This window comes from Homo sapiens, chromosome 3 (genome assembly GCF_000001405.40).
Source record: "Homo sapiens chromosome 3, GRCh38.p14 Primary Assembly".
In the NCBI taxonomy this organism is placed as follows: Eukaryota; Metazoa; Chordata; class Mammalia; order Primates; family Hominidae; genus Homo; species Homo sapiens.
Window position 1 is genome coordinate 188,150,999 of NC_000003.12, and position 21,328 is coordinate 188,172,326.

General features: G+C 45.1%; 1 protein-coding gene and 1 long non-coding RNA gene across 47 annotated transcripts in view, besides 4 other annotated features; one reads left to right on the forward strand and one right to left on the reverse strand.

The window, feature by feature from the left end:
- LPP-AS2 (LPP antisense RNA 2) lies at positions 208–3,090 on the reverse strand. Its single transcript, NR_036497.1, has one exon. It is a non-coding gene; the product is annotated as an LPP antisense RNA 2 (long non-coding RNA).
- Positions 1,694–2,594: an enhancer, noted in NCBI's record as "NANOG-H3K27ac hESC enhancer chr3:187870480-187871380 (GRCh37/hg19 assembly coordinates)". NCBI's record gives its function as "activates a minimal SCP1, AML or CMV promoter by ChIP-STARR-seq in naive H9 embryonic stem cells {active_cell/tissue: H9 hESC(naive)}" and the evidence as "EXISTENCE:reporter gene assay evidence [ECO:0000049][PMID:30033119]".
- The window catches only part of LPP (LIM domain containing preferred translocation partner in lipoma), a 737,651-nt gene continuing 718,345 nt past the window's right edge, over positions 2,023–21,328 (forward strand). For 22 of the 46 annotated variants that reach the window (XM_047448115.1, XM_047448105.1, XM_047448097.1 and 19 more), the window contains exon 1: positions 3,159–3,254. The gene's annotated coding sequence lies outside the window, so the exon portion shown is untranslated. Of the gene's footprint in view, positions 2,366–2,899; positions 3,024–3,158; positions 3,255–21,328 lie in introns of those variants that run through there. The other 24 variants (NR_164692.1, XM_047448109.1, NM_001375461.1 and 21 more) reach the window with 2 other exon arrangements.
- Positions 3,027–3,366: a silencer, noted in NCBI's record as "silent region_14995". NCBI's record gives its function as "represses an Ori minimal core promoter by ATAC-STARR-seq in GM12878 lymphoblastoid cells {active_cell/tissue: GM12878}" and the evidence as "EXISTENCE:reporter gene assay evidence [ECO:0000049][PMID:35858748]".
- Positions 4,394–5,292: an enhancer, noted in NCBI's record as "H3K27ac-H3K4me1 hESC enhancer chr3:187873180-187874078 (GRCh37/hg19 assembly coordinates)". NCBI's record gives its function as "activates a minimal SCP1, AML or CMV promoter by ChIP-STARR-seq in primed H9 embryonic stem cells {active_cell/tissue: H9 hESC(primed)}" and the evidence as "EXISTENCE:reporter gene assay evidence [ECO:0000049][PMID:30033119]".
- Positions 13,244–14,443: an enhancer, noted in NCBI's record as "CDK7 strongly-dependent group 2 enhancer chr3:187882030-187883229 (GRCh37/hg19 assembly coordinates)". NCBI's record gives its function as "activates an origin of replication core promoter dependent on BRD2, BRD4, P300/CBP, MED14 and CDK7 cofactors, with strong dependence on CDK7, by STARR-seq in HCT116 cells {active_cell/tissue: HCT116}" and the evidence as "EXISTENCE:reporter gene assay evidence [ECO:0000049][PMID:35650434]".

Genomic DNA, 21,328 nt, shown 5'->3' on the forward strand with positions numbered 1-21,328 from the left:
CTTTCCATTTCACGCAAGCGCCTGCACGTAGAAAGTTGTAACAGGAGGTTGAGAAAAGTAAGAGTACGAAAGAAACCAGAACAGTAAATGGGAATGAGGCTTTTGGTAGGGTTAGCACTGACGACAACACTGTATGCAGTTCACTAAGCATCCAGATTATGACTTGGGTGGTTGTACTCTTGGGAAGTTCCTCATGAGTCAGAATTATCTTTTGTAGTTAACTTTATATGATGTTCATGCTAACACCATGCTCACCATGCTCACCTGAGCAATTCATAAACATTTCAGGAGGAGAAACACAGTGACTTCCCCAACACACCCATACAACAGTTTCAACATAATTAGTAGCATTTCTGGATCCGGCACAGTACTCTTATAATGTATATGATGGAAGAAATGAACAACTCTAATTACACCTTATTAAATCTTAATCCTCATTAGGACCCTATTATTCCTTATAAGTGAGTTACTGAAGGAAAAAAAAAAAGGAAATGCTGGTCAAGTCCCGTTATATTCCATGAGGATTGAGATAATCCATTTTTACTTCATGTAACACTGGAATTCTTTTCATACTAAACAGTAGTACTCAGAATGTGAGTACGCTGAAATGTTTGAGTGAGTGGATTGTGTTTTGATAGGATCTGACCTTTTCAGAACCCCAGAAAAAACTCTCTCCAAGAGCCCGTATCTCCCATTTCAAACTATGTTAGTTGCAAAGAGATAAATTCTTTATTAGTCTGTGGAATGGGTGGTTATTCTCGACCTTATCTCTCTGTTACTGCCTTCATATATATATATGTATGTGTGTATATATATATGTGTGTGTGTATATATATATGTATATATATGTGTATATATATGTATATATATGTGTATATATGTATATATATGTGTATATATATGTGTTTGTATATATATATATTTTTTTTTTTTGACAACAGTCTTGCTCTGTCCCCCAGGCTGGAGTGCAGTGGCGCAATCTCGGCTCACTAAAACCTTTGCCTCCCGGGTTCAGGCAATTCTCCTGCCTCAGCTTCCGGAATACCTGGGATTACAGGCGCTCGCCGCCACGCCCAGCTAGTTTTTTGTATTTTTGGTAGAGATGGGGTTTTGCCATGTTGGCCAGGCTGGCTCGAGCTCCTGACCTCAGGTGATTTGCCCGCCTCGGCGTCCCAAAGTGCTGGAATTACAGGTGTAAGCCACCGCGCCCAGCCATGTTCATATTTTTGTATGTGTACATTAGATAGTTGAGAGGAACACAGAGGTTAAGTAGTCTTACCCCTGAAATGTCTGAATTCAAACACTTATTAAGCACAAGGAAGGTGCTTAATAAATCCAATAACATGTGTTTTTACATTATTTCCTTAATTCCTGGTCAAAAGAATCCCACTAAAGTCCATCCTCAGAAGAACCACTTTTTGGAGTTTTTATGAATCAGTAGCTCATGGTGTACTCTCAACAGTTATGAATGGAATTAGGTCCTGCTAGAGGTCAGGGCCAGGTATGGAAAGATGAAGGGATTAGTCAGGAGACCTGGATGGGAGGAGGGGAAGACAGGTGCTTGGTCAGTCAGTTGTTTTGTGTTGGGCGAGTAACGTTTCTTAAGTTTTTGTCTGAGGTGTAAAGGGGGGACTACGCTCTGTCCTATCTAACTCACCTGAAGATGCAATAGCCGGGTGAGAGACTGCTTTCATTATGTGCTAACGTGAGGGATTACTTTAGATATTAATAGGAGAGAAGTGCAAGGAAAGGAAGTCTCAGGGTATGGAATGCTTTCCTGGCCATGGCTGCTGCGCGTCATAATCCCCTAACACAGTTAAGTGGTGGTTCTCATCGTCGTTCACCCTTACAGATGTCAGAGGGGAAAGAAAAATCCAACTCAAAACTTCCAATGACAGGCTTGTCTGTATTCAAACCAGTTCATCTCGTTCGCAGACTTTTTTGAAGCTATAAGCACAGAGCAAGCTTTCTGGGCGGGGCTCAGAAGTAAACGTTAAACTCCAGGGATTCATTTATTTGAGCACAGGACAGAGGAAGTTGCCCTGAAGCAACTGATTGTCATTGATATTCAGGGCTCGCTGTCAACCAGGACCTTCCAGGAACTGGCTCTGGGCCAAGAGCAGTAGAAATCACTGGGTGGTCCGCACAGCTCGCGGGCATCTAACCTGCTTCAAGGCTCAGGGCTAAAAGGGAGCCAGGGCCCTTCCTGGAGGCGGGAACCCAAGTGGGAGGCAGAGCGCCTGGGCCCGCTCCTCGATCTGCTGAGTGACGACCCTGTACAAGTCATTTCTCTTCCGAGAGCTTCAGTTTCCTCACGTGCCAAGCGGACGGGTTGGAAGTTGGTCTTTGCCAGCTCTGACACCTTGTAAGTTTTGAGTCTTGCTGGGAATCCAGGGCGGGGCTCACGAGGAAAATCTTGGAAGGGGATTTCATGGCTGGATCTCTTCCACTCAAGCTCAGTGCCCTAATTTGACGCCTTAATAGTAGACGCAGGCTTTTCCATTTTCCAGGAGCCCCCTGACGCGGCCGCTTCCTCCTACGTCTCCTTCCTCTTCCTCTAGCAGGGGCAAAGTCTCCACATCTCCCTCTTTCTCTTCCTCCTTTGCAAGCTCCCTGCATTCCCGCGTCTCCTCCTCTTCCTCCCAGGAAATGCAATGCCCTCAGTGCGCCCACCTTTTGGCAAAGCCACTGCCGGCTGCGGGTTTCCCCTCCCCCGCCAGGCGAGCTCTGCGCGGCGGCTTCGCGGGCACACGCCTTCCCATACCTTACATGGACAAATGCGTGCAGGCAAAGTCAGGAATTCAGGCCCCTGACGTCAGCCTCCAGCGCTCAGGGCACCGCACGGGAGACCAAGGGGAGGGGGTGGGGACGGTGGGGAGGAAGGAGGGGGAAAGGCACCAACCAGCAGCCGCTCCAGCCCTGCCGAAGTTTCACTTTTTGTCTGTGGGTTCGTTCCCGGGTCCCGCGCGAGCTTTCCCGGGATAAGTAGCTTTAGCGATCGGGAGACAGCCGGGCGCTGCAAGGTAAGGGCTGGCTGCACGGCCCGGGGCGCGGGGCGTGGGGCGCTGGGCGCGGGCGGCGCGCTCGAGGAGGCCAGTGTGGGGCGCGGGGCCGGGCCTGTCCGGGGCTGGGGACAATGGGAGGGGGAGTGCCCGGGCACCTCCTCCTCTGCCTCTGCCTCCGCCTCCAGCCGCCGCCGCCGCCGCCGCCGCCGCCACCACCACCGCCGCTGCCCCGGCTGCCTCCTCCCTGAGGTATTGTTGCAAATCCTTCCTTCCCCTCACCCTCCACCCGCGGGCGCCTCGGGAACCCCCAGCCCTCCCCCGGCGCGAGCGCCTCCGGGGTGGCAAGAGCGCAGGGCGCGCGCCCTGCTCTGGCCTGGCCCGCTGTGCGGAAGTGCCGGCCGCGGCCCAATCACGGGGTGCACGCCATGGGGGAGGGGGACCCAGAGTTTTTCCAAAAGCGTCGACCCCAGGCTAGGCGGGGTTGGAGCCTTGCGCGCCCCCTGCCCGGACTTTTCTGGGCGCCCAGGGGGCGGGGCCACGCCCATCCGCTTAGAGCTTTCGCGGAATCACAGTTGTCACAGCGGAAAGGGCCTAGACCCAGTCCTCCAAGTCCTCCCATTTTACAGTTGGGGCAGCTGAGGCCCAGAGAGAAGGAGGGTCGCCCGGAAGTTATTTACTAGAGGCCAGACCATAATTCAAATAGTTGGCTCCGGACTTAAGTTCCCTTTCTCTAAGCATTTCTCTAGCACCCTGTGTGTGGCAGACCCTGTGCTGGGTGTATTGGACGTTGCCCTCAAGGAACTCAGTTGAACCTGGGAGTCAAACCTGGCCTAGGGTAGAAAATGCTAAGTGCTGGAGCAAAGGCGTGGACAAAGTTAAAGGAAGTTCCAGGGAGGGGGTTTGATTTTCTGGTCCCTGGGACGGCCTTTTGGAGAGTCCTGCACTGAATGGGGTTTTTGGAGGTTGAGGAGTTTCCTGAAGCCAGCTAGCGGCTTGGAGGAAGACATCTCTTCGAGGGAACCGTGGGCCAGAGAAGACTAAGTAGTGTGGGAAATGGAGATGAAAGTATAAATATTCTTTAGTTGGAGGCAAGGGGTTGGGGATGGGGGAGGTTGTGATATGAGATGAGCTAATCAGTGGAATTGTGCCTGGGTGCTTGGACAGGGCAGAGTCTTTGGAACCTCGGAGTCGTAGGAGAACTGAAAAATCTCTCTGGCTTCCCTTCCCTTAGAAGGGATCCACTGCTTTCCCTCCCCCAACACAAAACAACTAGCGAGAACTCAGGGTCTTCTCTGGGGCTTTTGCTAGTACCAAACTCACTTAACTGTGTTTCCAGTCCCCTTTCTCTTTCCATTCCTTCCCCTTTTACTAAATCTCTTGCCTTTCCTGTAAAATTCACTCTCACTAAGGTGTTGATGACTTAATGGCTTACCTTTCCCTGCACATGTGCATTTTAAGAAAGCCTAAAGTGAAGAAGGGGAAAGTGTGGCTAGGCACCTTTACAAAGCATCTAGCTCCCTCTCCCATCCTCCCCCTTCCTCAACTCTTATAGATAGAAGAATAGGTAAAGGTCCACGAAGGTGGGTGCTAGACCTAGAGCCTATGGTCAATAATGGTGGACAGTGGGGGGTTAGGACATCCAATATGGTTTTCTCCACTTCGTCACCAGTTTTTCTGCTTGCACAGTTCCTGCCAGCACCAGGGGGCAGTTAAAGGAAAAAGTGTGTGGGCCAGGCACGGTGGCTCACGCCTGTAATCCCAGCACTTTGGGAGGCCAAGGCGGGCGGATTGCCTGAGCTCAGGAGTTAGAAACCAGCCTGGGCAACATGGCAAAACCCTGTCTCTACTAAAAATACAAAAAATTAGCTGGGTGTGGTGGCGGGGAACTGTAGTCCCAGCTACTCGGGAGGCTGAGGCAGGAGAATCGCTTGAACCCGGGAGGCAGAGGTTGCAGTGAGTTGAGATCACACCACTGCACTCTAGCCTGGGCGACAGAGGGAGACTGCCTCTCAAAAAAAACAAAAAACAACAACAACAAACAAAGGAGAGTGTGCATTTTTGCATTTAATTTCTACAATGCAGGCCCCAACCCCAACACCCAAAACTTTATAGTCTAGAATGTAGGCTCCAGAGGGGATTACCTATTCTGAATGGTAGGGGTAAAAGCCTGGGGCCTTAGGGTCTGGCAGTCCCCCCAGAGGCAGGCTCTCTGTAAGCAGCATGGGTCTAGAGTTGGTTTTGAGTGTACGCAGAGGGAGGAGAAGCTGAGCTGATGAGCTGATTGCTGTGGCTGGGACTTGAGTAGGATCTTTCTTAGAGTGACACATTCTGGTGAAGACAGTTCCAGGAAATGATGGACGGGAGAGGAAACTTGGTTATAAAGGGGCTTAAAAATGCCAGGCTAAGGAGTTTGGATATATCTTAAATTCATCATTTGAGGGTTTTGAGCAGGCTGAGACATGATTTAGAGGGGAGGTACTGGCATCGAGAAGCCCCCTGCTGCCCAATTCCAATGAGAGAGGTAATAATTTGGCCTAAGAATATTATTGGCTTGGCACGATGGCTCAAGCCTGTAATGCCAGCACTTTGGGAGGCTCGAGGCAGGTGGATCACCTGAGGTCAGGAGTTTAAGACAGCCTGGCCAACATCGTGAAACCCCGTCTCTACTAAAAATACAAAAATTAGCCGGGTGTGGTGGCATGTGCCTGTAGTAGTACCAGCTGCTTGGGAGGCTGCGGCAGGAGAATCACTTGAACCTGGGAAGAGGAGGTTGCAGTGAGCCGAGATTGCACCATTGCACTCTAGCCTGGGTGACAGAGTGAGACTCCATTTCCTCTGCTGCGCCCCACCCCCCCAAGAAAAATAATATTATCAATTGGTTCTTGTTCATTTACTCGACATAGGTTACTGAATACCTATTACGTACCATTGGCAAATATGAAAATTTTATAGCAGATTCCTGTATTTTATTGAGACAAATACGTTGTATCGAATCAATTGTAAAACACACTTTTTTCACATTTTAATATCACTGAAATGTGGTTGTCTTATTACAATGTACCATAGTTGTGCAGTTGTTTTTCATCCTAAGTTGGTAATGGCACATCTTATAGTTGATGGCTTAAATCTGATAAAATTGTTCATCATGTCGTTTATGAATGTACAGTGCTTTGCACTTTATAAAACACTTTCCAATCAGATACTCCATTTGAATCTCAAAGGTCCCCTGAGAATGAGGCCTGCTGCTGCTGTCACCTTTATTTTAACCCTTGCCCAAGGTCATATAGCTAATTAGGGATGTGTTCAAAATTACAACCCAGAACTTTTGCTTCTTGGTGGTGACGTGTGACTTTACCCTGCTGTTGAGCCAGTCTGGGTTAATTGGGAATGGGGCAAGAGTTAGATCGGATTTGATTTCAGAACTATGCTGAAGATGCTGGATGATGGGGATTTTGTACACGGGTAGAGTGTAACTCATAAGAACTGTGTAGCCCCCTTAGCACAGATATTTGCTGCATTAAGCAGAAAAAAGACAGGGAGATAGAAAATGGCAGGTAGCAGGTAAAACCCGGGGTTGGAGCCTGCTTACGGTGAACCAGAAACTGGCTTGGCCCTGAGCGTACAAAGATGAGGTGTACATGGTCCCTGCCTTTGAGGAGCACACAAGTGTGTGGTGTGTGTGAGGGGGAGGGAAAAAGGTGGAGTGGGGCATGTCCGTGTATTAAGTGCTTTTACAGGGTAAGTTTTGGCTGCTCTTCACTGAGAAGGCTCACCCTCAGGGAAACCACTATAGAGAGGGGGGTGTCTGAGCTGAACCTCTAGGAATGAGTAGGAGTTGTCCAGGTGGAAGAAGGACAGGTGAGAGAAGGACCTATTAGCAAGATAGTAGCAGATGCAGAAGCAGGGAGAAGCTGCTTTATTCTCCAGGCTGTGTTTTGAAAGGCCAGCCATGAAGAGGACCATGGAAAATGGAGAAAGAAGAGGGCCTTTACTTTTTAATAAGTAAGGTTTAAATTAATCTCGATAGGGGCCGTTAAGTGGTTCTGTAGAGATTCACAGGAGAATAAGGCTGGGTAGGGTCTCTAGCGTCATCTCTGTGGGAGTAGTTATTTGGATGGTAATGCAGGAGGCATAGTACCACTTTTAGTCTGAGTGAACCTGGGACTTTGACCCTGGGCCGCGATTAGAGGATCCAAGCTGAGTATGTTCATTGGTGGGTGGGACTTTTCCTGGAATCTGGCTTTGGAGGGCTGTGCTTTGCTAGAAGAAACTTAGTAGAGTGAGGAAGGGGAAGATATAATCATGTTGATGCATGCAGGAAGCTAGTATCTGGGTGAAAATCTGTTGGCTTGAGGGAACATATGAGGCGGAGAACCTGAGGGCAAGGGGAAGGGTGGAAGGATTTCAAGTGTGTTGTGGAAGTCTGCTGTAGGCTGCCTGGAGGCTTGGAGAAAAAGGCTGGTGCATTCTAAATGTTGGTCACATCAGTGAGATTGGTAGGTGGATAGGTAGCTGTAGGTAGTGTAGGGATTAATGTTTGGAAGCAGGTAAACCACAGAGTTGAGGCTGGAAAATGTTTCCTTTCCTATCATTCTTTTTTAATAGTAATATAATTTTGAAATATTTTCAAATGCTTACCACCTGTTATGTAATTATCATATTGATTCATTAAAGTAGGTTTTTTGATTACCAGTCTCATTTTGCAGATGAGAAAATGAATTTGGTGAAATAAGGTTACACAACTACCAGGAGGCATTCAAACTTCTGCCTCATTCTTATAGCCTCTTCACCACTCTTTTCTATGCCCACATGCATGAAAAGCTCAAATCGACATTGCTTGTCTGTGTTCTTCCCTGGAATTTAATTCAGCCCACATTCGTGGGGCCCTAGTGGGGTCACAATTGAGGATTCACATGGACAAACGGGCTTCTCAGTCCCACACTGGTGCTGTTCTAGCCCCTTTTTCTCTCTTAAGATGCTACCTTGGGTGTCGTCTCTCCCCAAACCTAACTGGAAAGGACTAAGCCTCTCTAGCAAATCATCTGCCTCTTTCAACAGAGCTCGCTTCCCCAGTCCCTTGTTGTGTTAAGAATGTGATTTATTCTTGTAGAGAGGCAGTTAGGGTCATAAAGTAACAGAGTGGGGAAGTGACAGTCTTGAACTCAGTCATTACCTTTGATCTCACGGCTCCGGTAACGGTGCTATATGTTCTCTGGTGCTGAACCATATAGCTTCTGCGTCCTCTAGGAAAGCTTTCTGGCTCAGGGCTCTGAGGGAACACCTACAATCCTTCCTATCACCTACCTGAGTCAGATGGGTCATCTACATTTTGGCCACTCACAGATAAAAGCATTAATAATCTGTTTATTGTGTTGTGAGAGGAGACAGACCCCAGGATGTTCAGTAGCTGTTTGGTGAATGAACAATGTTTATGGACACAAATAAGCATGCATCACCACTTCATCTTACATATTTGTGTGTCTGCCTCCTCTCCACTTTAAAATAAGCTGCTTGAGGATTGCAGTGATGTCTGCTTGTTGATGGCTGTATTCCCAATGCCCAGAAGAATGCCTGACACATGGTAGGCACTCCAGAAATACTTGCTTGATGAAGAGAGGGAGTAAAATAGTTCACTGCAGCCACAGGATAGCAATCATGGGGGAGCGGGACTGTTTTTACTGCCCCAGAACCTTGAGCCAGTTGTTGCTGGCACAGGTGGCATTGGGCAGTCCTGCCAGCAGAGTGAAGATTGAGGGACTGGGAGTGTAGAGCTGAGGGTTGTGAGATTAACTATGCCAAGGTTAATTGCAGTTGCAACTGCTCTTTCACTTTTCCCTCACACAGACAGGTGGTCTGGAACAGTCCTCTGTTTTCTTCTCTTTTGAGACAGAGTATTTTTTTGTTTGTTTGTTTGGTTTGTTTGTTTTGAGACACAGTCACACTTTGTCACACAAGCTGGAGTGCAGTGGCGCAATCTTGGCTCACTGCAACCTCCACCCCCTGGGTTCAAGTGATTCTCCTGCCTCAGCCTCCCAAGTAGCTGGGATTACAGGTGCCCGCCACCACTCCCGGCTAATTTTTGTATTTTTAATAGAGACGGAGTTTCACCATGTTGGCCAGGCGGTCTTGAACTCCTGACCTCGTGATCCACCTGCCTTGGTCTCCCAAAGTGCTGGGATTACAGGCGTGAGCCACCACGCTCAGCCTTGAGATGGAGTTTTACTCTTGTTGCCCAGGCTGTAGTGCAATGGCCCGATCTCGGCTCACTGCAACCTCCGCCTCCCAGGTTCCAGCGATTCTCCTACCTCAGCCTCCCAAGTAGCTGGGATTACAGGTGCCTGCTGGCACGCCTGGCTAATTTTTGTATTTTTGTGGAGATGGGGTTTCACCATGTTGGCCAGGCTGGTCTTGAACTCCTGACCTCAGGTGATCCGCTGGCCTTGGCCTCCCAAAGTGCTGGGATTACAGGAGTGAACCACTGTGCCCAGCCCTCTGTTTTCTTAATCCATGCCTTTTCTTATGCTGTTTTCTCTACCTGGAGTTTCCAGCCTTTCTGTCTCTGCCTGTTGTAAACCTGTGATTCTAGGATCAATATCAAAATCTACCTTGTGCCATGAAGCAATTTCCAGACTCCTTAACCCTTCCAACCCACACGTATCTGTGATCAGATACAACTCAATTTCATGTATTGAGTTCGGTACTTGTGTACAAAGTGATTACTGTATGCCAGGCAGAAATGCTAGATACTGGTTACAAAGAAAACTGAGATAGGCTCTGCCTTCCAGAGTCTTCCTTCTATCATAGGAAAGAAACTGAAAGAGAAGATGCTAAGGCTCTAATAAAGTAATGAGCAAAGGGCTAATGGGAACATGGAGAAAGGAGTGACCAATCATCTAGAAGAACTGGTGAATGCCTATGGAAAAGAAGACATTTGGTTGGGTTTTGAGAAGTGAATAGGAGTTTACATGGTGGATAGGAGTGGAAGAGCTTTCTAGCCATAGGGACCTTGGTGTATGTGCACAGGCCTGAGGCCTAAAAGTATTTGAGGAATATAAATGTGTGTTTGGAGATCACTGTGGGAGATGGGGCTGGCTAGGGAGGGTTAGTTGATAAAGAGCTGATGGGCCAAGCTAAGGATGATGGCAGAGGTGGGAGGGAGCAGGAAGGCTTTTATTATTATTATATTTTGAGCAAAGGAGGGCCTTGTTGGATCTGTATTTCAAAGAGCTCTGGTGGCAGACTGAGGGCAGGTTAAGACCAGAGGCAGAGTCCCAGCTTAGAAGGCTGCTGAAGTATTCCAGGACAGGAGAAATGGGCCTGTATCGGGTCAGCAGCGTACGGAGGGAAAAATGGATTCCAGAAACTGTTTGCTGCTAGAATAATATCAGGTAGCTTAATTCCTACTTTTGTCCTTCTAATTGTTTGACAGCTTATCCATCTTGGCTGGGGAAAAGAATTTTTTTAATGTACACCAAAGTTTGTAGTCAACAGGAGAAGCAGCAAGCTGCCAGCCAAGCATGGACTGGGGCCTTCTTGGCCAGAGTGAGCTGATCCCTTGTTATACAGATGAGGAAACTGAGGCCCCAGAAAAGGGACAGAGCTGCTCAATCACACCCTTGTCAGCTGAAGTGGAGTTGGGTCACAGCCTTTACTCCTAGGCCAGCCCTGTTTCCAGGTATTTTTCATTCTCAATTTCTGCTGTACCTCACACCTTCCTTCCCCACTCCACCCTCCACTAGGGGTTTCTCTGCTTTGGAGAATTTTAGGAGAGGATGTAACTTGGAAATTATGGTATCTTAGGCTTGAAACTTGCGCTTCATACTTAGAAAGCAATCAGATTAAGATGGTTCAGTTTGAGTGTGTGTGGTCTGGCGATTTATTTATGTAACTGCCATGGATGGCTGCCATTGATGCTTGTTTGTGAGAACCAAGCTATGCTTCCATGCTAATATCAAGGTTCCTTGCTTTTGACAGCTCCCTGCCCCTGCTCTCTACCATTCTCCATTAATATTTACTTATTTTTGCTTGCCTAGAAGTTTTTAGGCAATAGTTTTAGATCCATTACAAGGTAGATCCTCCTGTGTTTGTCTTCCCTATTGAACCTGCCCATCACAATGTATCTCACAGAAACCATGAGTATTTCATAGCCTTCATAGCACTTTTAATGTAGCAAATACATTTTATAATCATTTGTATTACTTTGTTCCCAAATATAATGCAAGAGACAAGTTGGCTAGATCAGTCTTATCTTGCAGATATTGGTCGGGAGTTCAAGGGTCATAAAACTTTCCTAACTGGGGTGCAGGGCCTTAAGTGGCAGAGTGAGAATCAAACCCCCCTCTCCAAAACTCCTGTCTTGTTCCTTAACTTTTGCAAATGAGCATAGTTGATGTGAACATCCCTGCAAGCCCTTTACACAGGTGAGAAGTAGTTATTATTATTTCACTAGTACTAATTAGTAGCATTAGGTGACTATATTCAAGGCTTTGGAAGGCAAGACTAAAAATCAGATTTGGGACAGGGAGTTCAAAGATCTGGGCTTCACCATACCGGATCATTTTGGCAATAGTGGTGATTTTTGGTGTAGGGAAAACAAAGACCTATGTTTGGGCTAACCACAAGCCCTGTGATCTTGAACAAGTTCTGGAACATCCCTGAGCCTAAATTACCTTTCAATGGAGATCCTGTGATCTATCACAATGCATTTGTGAGAATCAGGGGCATTTCTGTGATGGCGCTTTGTCAGTGGTAATGCAGTCTGTACATGTGTCCGATTCTGGGTGCCCAGCGGGGCATCTGGCACACAGTGATGACACCTTACTGTGCTTGTGGGGCTGAAAGGATTTAGACCTAGACAACTCCTAGTTCAAGTCCTCGTTGTGCTGTTTAATACAGGGTGCTCCCTTGGTGGTCACAGGCACTATTTGTTTTCTCCACGTATTCATTTTTAGATCTCTTATTAATGAGGTCACCACAGTTGAGTATAGTGTGCCCGCAAAAGTGGGATGAGTGCCACAGACATTCACGGGCATTTCCAGGTTGTGCGCTGATTTGTCACCAGTGGATGGCTGTGCAGTGTCCCTTCTTCCACTGCCACCATCCCACCTTCTCTTGGGTTTTGTTTGCACTGTTTGTATCTGTTACCCGTGGAGGGTCTGCTTCTACTGTTGTAATTGCTTGTGTTGTGACTTTGCATCATAGCTGGAGATCCCTCTGTAGTTCAAATGGAAAGCTGGTGTTGAAGGTGAAACCAGGTCTTCTTCAGAAACTTGTGTGGGAACCTTTCATGGGCTGGATAAGCATGAGGATCAGGACAGGGCAGGGTCACTGACCTTAAAGGAGGATGCTTTGACCTGCCTCCAGCATGCACCCTTCCTGCTGAAGCCATTGTTAGTGTCCCTTAATTACTCAGGCCACCACCCAGCAGCGCAACTGTCAACTTGCAGAGGACTTCAGTGGTATCAGTAGTGTTCCTTTTTACTCTCATAGGTGTCCTGATTCGGAGGATACGTTATATGGTCACCCTACTTATAGGTGAATATTGAGTGAGGTAGTGTAAATAATGTGCATAAGGCCAGGCATAAGGCAAGGACTCAACAAACATCCACTGTTTTTGTTAGAGGGGGTGCTAGGTGCTCAAGAAATGTCTGCTGAGTGGCCAGGCATGGTGGCTCACGCCTGTAGTCCCAGCACTTTGGGAGACTGAGTTGGGTGGATCACGTGAGGTCAGGAGTTTGAGACCAGCCTGGTCAACATGATTTAACCTCGTCTCTACTAAATATACAAAAAAAAAAAAAATTAGCCAGGTGTGGTAGTGGGCGCCTGTAATCCCAGCTACTCGGGAGGCTGAGGCAGGAGAATCGCTTGAACCCAGGAGGCTGAGGTTGCAGTGAGCCAGGATGGCACCACTGCACTCCAGCCTGGGCAATAGAGCAAGACTCTGTCTCCAAAAAAAAAAAAAAAAGTCTGCTGAATAAACTACATTTATAGAAGTGGAATTTAAGTTTGTTTGAAGGGTATGTCAAGATCGTAAGCACTTACTATTTATGAGGGTTGATAAAATCATGTTAATGTATATCTATAATATAAGAGAGTGCCGTGGGAGAGGCGCATGTGAAGGACTGATGGACTTGTGAATTGCTGGAGCCTTTTGGAAGTGCTGAGCCTTCAGTTAGACATTGAAGGATGGGAAGGCTTAGACCAGGATTCAGCAGGCAGCTGAATTGCTCTGGCTACTGAGAGTTAAGGAATAAGATTGGTTCTCTGTTCATGTGTGTACTTTAGCTGGGTCCCTGAATCTATTATTTTCCATCCAGTGGCCCATCTTGATAATGATCTCTAGCTGTAACCGTGGAAGCCTAATGCTCTACTAAACTCTGTGCCAAGAGGTCACAGTGGAAATTCATTTCCATTATGCAGAGTCATCTGCACTTGTACTTCCTAGTGAATTTCCACTGAAGATGGTTCTTGTTTAGTTCAAGGAAGAAAATAACTTGGTTGGCACCTGGAGCTTCTGTCTTGTTTGGTATGAAAACGAATCATTTTCAGGAAGTGCAATAAAGAGTTGCCACCCACAGGGCTGGGTGTGCCCTGACTCATGGGAAAGGCAAACTCTGCCCTGGCCAGGCAGGTAAGTGACACCTTTTCTTAGAATGAGGTGAAAGATAGGTCAGTGTTCCAGTAGGTGGTCATTGTCACCCTGGAAGTCTCTCTTCTTGGTCATAGTTTAATAGCTTTACCTGGAGAATATCTAGGGTTCCAGTAGTGACAGCTGGACAGGACCCTAAAGATAACATTCTTTCCATAAATTTGATACATTTGTGTATTCATTTGACATCGTGTATCAGGTGCATCTGTGAAAGAATTAGTGATATGTTACTCTGGGTTTCGACGATGGAAACGTGAATGCAGTGTGGTCTCTGCTTGCAAGAGGTCACATAAATCATCAAGACAGTATGTAGAAGTATATGCAAAAAATACCTGAAGGGGCTAGGTGCAGTAGCTCACATTGTAATCCCGGTACTTTGGGAGGCCGAGGCAGGAGGATCACTTGAGGCCCGGAGTTCAAGACCATCCTGGGTAATATAGCAAGATCCCATCTCTAAAAAAATAAAAATAAAAAAATTAGCCAGTGTGGTAGTGCATGCCTATAGTCCTAGCTGCTCAAGAGGCTGAGGCGGGAGGATCCCTTGAGCTCCAGAATTTGAGGCTGCAGTGAGCTATGATCATACCACTGCACTCCAGCTGGGGTTACAGAATAGACTCTGTCTGTCAGGAAAAAAAAAAAAGTCTGATGGCTCTAATTGGATGGTAACTCCCTAGGGACCTGGGGAAACTCAGATAAAGAGATTGTCATTTGATTGGGCATTGAAGGGTAAGTGGGAATTTGTTTGGTGGGATAGAGGATATTTAAGTGGGAGACATAACATGGATAGAGACATGGAGGTGAGAAAGTGCATGGTGCCTTGAAAAATTAGAGTCATGAAGGTGGACTGCATAGTAGAGAGGCTGTGGAGATGGGTTAGGGTCTACATTGAGAGAAACCTTTATTGCTGTACTGAGAAGTTGAGACTGCATTCTGAAAGGAGCATTGAGTAGATCAATGAGATGACTGGATCTGTGCCTTAAGAAAATAATCAGCTATAGTGTGCTAGACGGATTGAAGGCAAGGGTGCTAGAGACAGCAGGAGCTGTCTGAGCTGCTACAATAGCCCAGGCAAATGATAAAGCAAAACCGAATTAGGGTTGAGGCAGTCGATATGAGAGATGACTCACAGATAGAATAGAAGTCACAGAGTCTTCTCATTTTGCATAAGGGGAGACTCAGCACCTAAGAAAATTACACGTGCAAAGTTCACAGCCCTGGTCCCAGCGTAACACTGAGGTGATCTCGTCTGCCCAGTGTCTTAGACGGGTGACGGAACATACGGCTTTTGAGAGAACTGCTTGTCAAGGAAGATCTCCACCCTTTTTTATCTTGTAAGGATTCTGTGACATCTCTTAATTCTGAATGAGATGAGATGGCTCTTTCTGGAGTTACTGAATCTCTAATTGCTGGAGATATTCAAGCAGTGACTGACTGAACTGTTACCGTGAAAGTTCAGGCATTGGTTGAAAACTCCTCTGCGAGGTCTTTAAGACCTATCAACCCTGATTTTTTTTTTTCTTCTTTCTTCTTCTTCTTTCTTTTTGTTTTTTAAATTTAATTCCTGGGAAAAGAGACTTATAACAGTCTTATCTGGGAATGCTTTATCCATTTGGCTCCTCAGGATTATTTTAGACAAAAGGCAGAGAGAGTTAAAAATGGATGATTGAGCTCTAAGAATGGTGGCCTGTAGTTCATTCAGAGTAGTGATGGAACAACCATTTCGTTGCCAATAAATTAATGCTCACTCATGTGGGAGATATTGGTAGCTGGCTCAGCTTGCAGGATCCTGGTCAAAATGGACCATCCACATAGCATAATACTTATCTTGCTGTTGCCATTTCTTATAGGGCTTTATGGAAACATGTGTTTTCCTACAAATTACAGGTAAATCATACCAGTAGTCCTGCGGATGGTTATTATTATTGTCCAAGTTTAATCAGAAGCTTGAACCTGGGAAAGGTTAAATGATTTGCCCAGAACCCAAGCAAGTTAAACATTGAACCAGGACTTAAGTTTTCTATTATCGCAATGCCAGATTCTTCCTGTTCCCTGCCTGTGCAGATCTCTGAGTCCGGCTCTAGCTTTTGTTCATATTCATATCCACAGCATCTGCTGCAAATCCTGGGATGTTATAAATAATTTAATAAATGTTTATTGAATGAACATATGAATGAATGAATGAATGAATAATATATATGAAGTAATAAATGATGACTTGAGTTTTAAGAATAGCTTAAGAAATTAAAAAAACCACCACCACCTAATTGAGTACCTTCTTGGCACTTTGACTTTTCCTTATAGAGGTTACAGTTTTTGTGTCTTGCATTACGTGGTTATCGCTGAGGGATGTAGTAGAAACTACATGGATGGTTTGGAGAGTTAGAAGGTTTGGATTTAAATTATAGCTCTGCTAATTGTTAGCCATATAATCGTGTACTGGTTACTTAGCCTCTCTGAACTTCCAATTCCTCATCTCTAAAAGAGTGTAATAGTATCTTTCACATAACATGATTGTGGAAGGTATTCTATGGTCAGTGTAGTAAAGCCTCAAAGCCTGCCATGTTGGCCGGGCACGGTGGCTCAGGCCTGTAATCCTAGCACTTTGGGAGGCCGAGGCGGGCAGGTCACCTGAGGTCAGGAGCTCGAGACCAACCTAGCCAACAAAGCAAAATGCTGTCTCTACTAAAAATACAAAAATTAGCTGGGCATGGTGGCATGTGCCTTTAGTCCCAGCTACTTGGGAAGCTGAGGCAGTAGAATTGCTTGAACCCAGGAGGCAGAGGTTGCAGTGAGCTGAGATTGTGCCACCACTGTACTCTAGCCTGGGCAACGGAGCAAGACTCCACCACCACAAAACAAAACAAAACAAAACAAAACAAAACAAAACAAAGGCCTGCCATGCAGTGCCACTGAAAAATGTTATCTTTGTGTGTGTGTTGTTTTTTTTTTTTTTTAGGATTCTCTGTCAACCCATTAGCTAATAATGCACTCACTGTATTTTTCCTTTTATTTCTCCAAATTATGACCTATGGTAGACCCAGTGTTTGCTGACTGGCTAAATATGTTTTAAGTTCTTTCAGAGAAGAATTATAGCACAAAAGTCCCAACTATTTCTATGACTTTTCAGATCAGTTGCCAGTCAGCCTCCAGAAAGACTATTGACTTGCACAGTCATTAGCAGTATGTGAATCTACTTGTTTCTCTGTGCACTTACCAGGATTTAATTTTATAACTTGCATTTGTCTTTGCTAAATTAATATGTAAGAAATATCTTATTATTGTTTTAATTTGAATTTCTTTGATTACTAAAAAAATTTCCCAAGTAGTGGTTTATTGTTTGTGTTTCTCTTTATATGGATTGTCATATGACAATATTTAGAAATAGTCTGGGCTGAAGACGCTTGATATAAAAGGGCTAAAAATGTTTAATGTTTTGAGCTGCTTAAATTTATTTATTTGTGCATTCATTCATTCTCTCAGTCTTTATTGAGCTACCTACTCCGTGCCAGGCACGTGCTGCACATACTATGAAGAAAAAAATAAATGAATGAAAACAGTGACTTCCAACCTCTTCATTTAACATGTGTGATAGTTGAAGTCTAGAAAAGTGAGGTTAATTACCCAGGGCCGTACAGCTTGTTCAGTAGCAGAGCCAACCATTTATTTGAACAGTAATGATTTTAAATGTTTTGTGTCCATAGCCTTTTAAACCATGGCGACATCCTGGAAATTTCAGTATTGTGATGTTAAAGAACATCTCTAAACTGTGTCTACGTTGAAAAATCAGAGTCCTGATTTTTGGTTTAGAAAACATGGTCACCTGGTTCTTCAGTTGTAAATATAATTCCTTCCTAGACCTCTCTAATGCTTAAGTCTAAATTCATTCTTAAATGAATAAACTTAATATTAAAATAAGATCAGGAAGTAAATCCCAAGCCAAGCATTTCAGACCAGTTGTGAACCTCTTTTGACATGTTTTTGGTAAATGAGAAGAACTGATGACATATTTCCCTATCAAATAAAATAGACAATTTAGATTTAATAAGGCAGTTATCTTCAGGTAATAAAAATTCAACTAACTTGCCATAACTATCTTGTTTAAAGTCAATTAAGAGCCTCATATTTCTCACTTGCTGGGTAAAATTTAATAGAACTTCAGTTAAGCATTTATTGCTTATTTAATTCAAAATTAAGTTAATCACCACAGTTGGTAACAACCACTGAGTATTTAATTAACATTCAGCAAACTATCTTATTAAGTCTAAATTAGATACAGACAAGTCTTGTTTATCCCCATCAGTTTGCAAACACCACCTCCCCCACCTCCCATCCCAAGGGGCCTTTGGTTTTCCTACAGTTTTCCTTTTTTGATTCATCATTTTTATTTTCTTCTACTTAAGACTTCACTTGGGTGAAAGAGGAGAAGAGGCAGCAGTCCATCATGTTATAGAAACTTTGGGCTCGTAGTATAACTGAGAAACTTTTTCAATCTTTTCTTTTTTCTTCAATCCTATTCTATTAACATTTCGTTTTTCAAAAGGTATTGAGCACATTCTCTGTGAGAGGCTTCTTTTAAACCCTAAGGAAGCTATAAAAGAGGTCATTCTGACATATTTGGTTTTATTTTCTCATCCTAGAAATGAGAGGATTGGGTTTAGTTTATCCGTGTAACACGTATTATTGGCTTGCAGTGTGTAAGGCACTTAGCTGAGTGTTTGGATACACCTTGATTCAGACAAGGCCCCTGCTCTTAAAGAGGACACAGACCAGTGTGAAAGCTGCAAAGTTCAGCTGTAGGAACATGAAGGTCCTTTAGAATGCTGTGATTCTGTAAGACAGTATTTCCCAAAGTGTTAAGGCTGTTTTATTAAGAAAAGGGTCCTGTAGCCAAGTAAGTTTGGAAAAGTCCAAGTTAAACAAAATTAAGGAAATTTCAGTATTGTGTATCTTTACCATGGGATTTTGAGACTTTAATAAACGAATGCGCATTCTGACCTCCCGGAAGGTTTGTTTCCCAAAGTTATTTGATCATAGAACCCCTGCACCCCACTACTACCCTTTGTACCAGAGCATTTCCTGGGTTCAGTGATGTAATATGCTTTGGGGAAAGCTGCTGTGGGCCGTGGACCCTGGCCACGAACCTCCCACAGCCCAGAAGGGGTACTCAGACATTCACCCTAGTAACTATGATACAGGGTCAGAATTCTACTTTGTCTGAAAGTTGTGCACATAGAGTGGGTGATTTTAGACATAGAGTCTTTTAACTGGAGTGGAGGGTATGTAACCAGGACAGCCTTTCCTCATGGAGGAGCGCTGGGTCTAGCGGGAGATAGACTGTGTAGGCAGAGAGGCCTGGAGGGTTGCCAGAGCATCATCGGGAACAGAATAACAGTGAAATTCTGACATGGCTGATTTGGTGGAGACTCCCTAACACATTGATATAATGTAGACCAATTTTTATTATAGCCTGAATATGGAGAGGTAAGAGGCAATGAATTTTTTGGCGCAGAACTTTCTGCCTTCGGCTTTGTTCCAACTGCGTGACTGCCCATCTGCAGAAGTGATTGTTGATTCACGTCTGTAAGACATTTTCATTCTCATGCTTTGTTTGGGGCAGAGCCTCTGCCTTGTGAATCACTCTTATGAGAGGGAGTCTCAGTTTCTTTTCTTTTCTTTTCTTTTTTTTTTTTTTTTTTTGAGAGGGAGTCTCGCTCTATTGCCCAGGCTGGAGTGCAGTGGTATGATTTCGGCTGACTGCAACCTCCGCCTCCCAGGCTCAAGCAATTCCACTGCCTCAGCCTCCTGAGTAGCTGGGATTACAGGTGTGTCCCACCATGCCCAGCTAATTTTTTTGTATTTTTAGTAGAGATGGGGTTTCACCACGTTGGCCAGGCTGGTCTCAAACTTCCAACCTTGTGATCTGCCCGCCTCGATCTCACAAAGTGCTGAGATTACAGGTGTGAGCCACCATGCCCAGCCGAGGGAGTCTCAGCTTCTTCATCAACAGCATCATTCTAGTCAGTCTAGTTTCCGTTTACCTTGTCATCTACCACTTCCTCCAACTTACCTTCCCCCCAGCTTCTCTTATTCTGGTGAATCACCTGTGTCTTCATTTTTCATTCTTATTCATCTGAATCATCTTCTTCATCTAAGGCAAGGTACCCTTTTATATCTTCCTGGAAAGACATCTACTTCATTTAAAATAATGCTACCAATTTCCTCCCCTCTGGTAGCAACCAGCAGATGGAACATGCTAGATGAGGTAGAGGATAATCTACAAATCTGGTCTGCCATATCATGGGAGATTTCACGTAACAGTGAATTCTTTCAGAGCCTCTCAGCAATACCTTCCTTGTTTTTCATATCTGTATCAAAAGGAACACTGGCAAACCTGGGTTGTATTTCTCATTCCATTTTGGGCTTGAATTTTTCTGAGTCTGAGTCTCAGTTTATCTGTGTATGAAACGTTAGGGTTACGCTATGTGTACTCTCAGGGCCTTTTAACTAGAAAATGTTGAATTTGAATGTTTACTAAGTCAACACAAGCTGCAGTCACCCTGGATTGCTTGATCCTCCATGTACTTTTGAGCCTGGCAGTATGAGGAAACTCCTGCAGTGAGCATAGTTCATGCCTACACAAAGTAGGCATTCCATGAATATTGGTTCTCTTCCATCCTGACTGCTTCTGGATTCATTTTCTTTTTATTGCCATTGCTTTTTAGTCACCCAAGCTTATCTCTTTCTTGTCTACACCCTCAATGCTGTAAATCTTCCTTTCTCATTCTCCATCTGGATAGCTTCCTCTCTCCTCACCTTTTTCCCTTCAGGCTATGCCTATGGATGCTGTCCACTCTGAAACCTCCCAAAGACAAATGATTGCAATGGAGGCACAGATTGCCGGGTGGTGGTCCTGGCCAGCTACAAATCTTTCCAAGAGATTAGCACCATTTCTTTATGGAATCATATTGTTGTTCCATGAGTGAGACCAAGTCTTATCCTCAAGGATCCCATAATGGAGGTGAGATGCTTTCTTTTTGACACTTAGTGGAAACAACAGTCCATGAGGTATATTATCAATTGGAAAGGTGGGGTTTTTGCTTTCTAGGATTGGGCAATGCACTACTAGGTTCTCAGCGTGGATTCTTGAGTATCTAGGAAAACTGGTCATGTGGAAAGCTTAAGCTTATTTTGCAGGCCTTGAAAAGACAGCCTGCATGTTTCATTTCACTCTCTACCCGAACTGACACTTCAGGGATGAAAATGTCAGCAGACAGCCAGCAAGTAGCCGACTAGAGGGCATGATGTGGGCTGGTGGTGCAACTCTTCAAGGATGATATGCCAGAGAGGGCAGAACACAGTTAGGACAAGGCCAAGGATGTCATTCCCATGTGGAGAGGCCATTGGTAACCTCGGCGAGGTTTGGTTCTTCTCCAGTAGAGATTTTCAGAAGCTAAGAATTCACCTTGAGAGTCCTTTTTGCTTCCTCTTCTTTTGTATTAAACAAACTACTCACCTCTCAGTCTTTGCCTTTAGTCCTTTGGCTATTCCTGGTTAGATAGGCCCAATTCCAGAAGCATCTGGAAAACTCTGCTCTAAGTATGTAGTGCTTAAGGGCCAGAGCTCTGGAGCTACACTGCCTGGATTTGCATTCTGGCCTGCCAAAAATACCTCAACT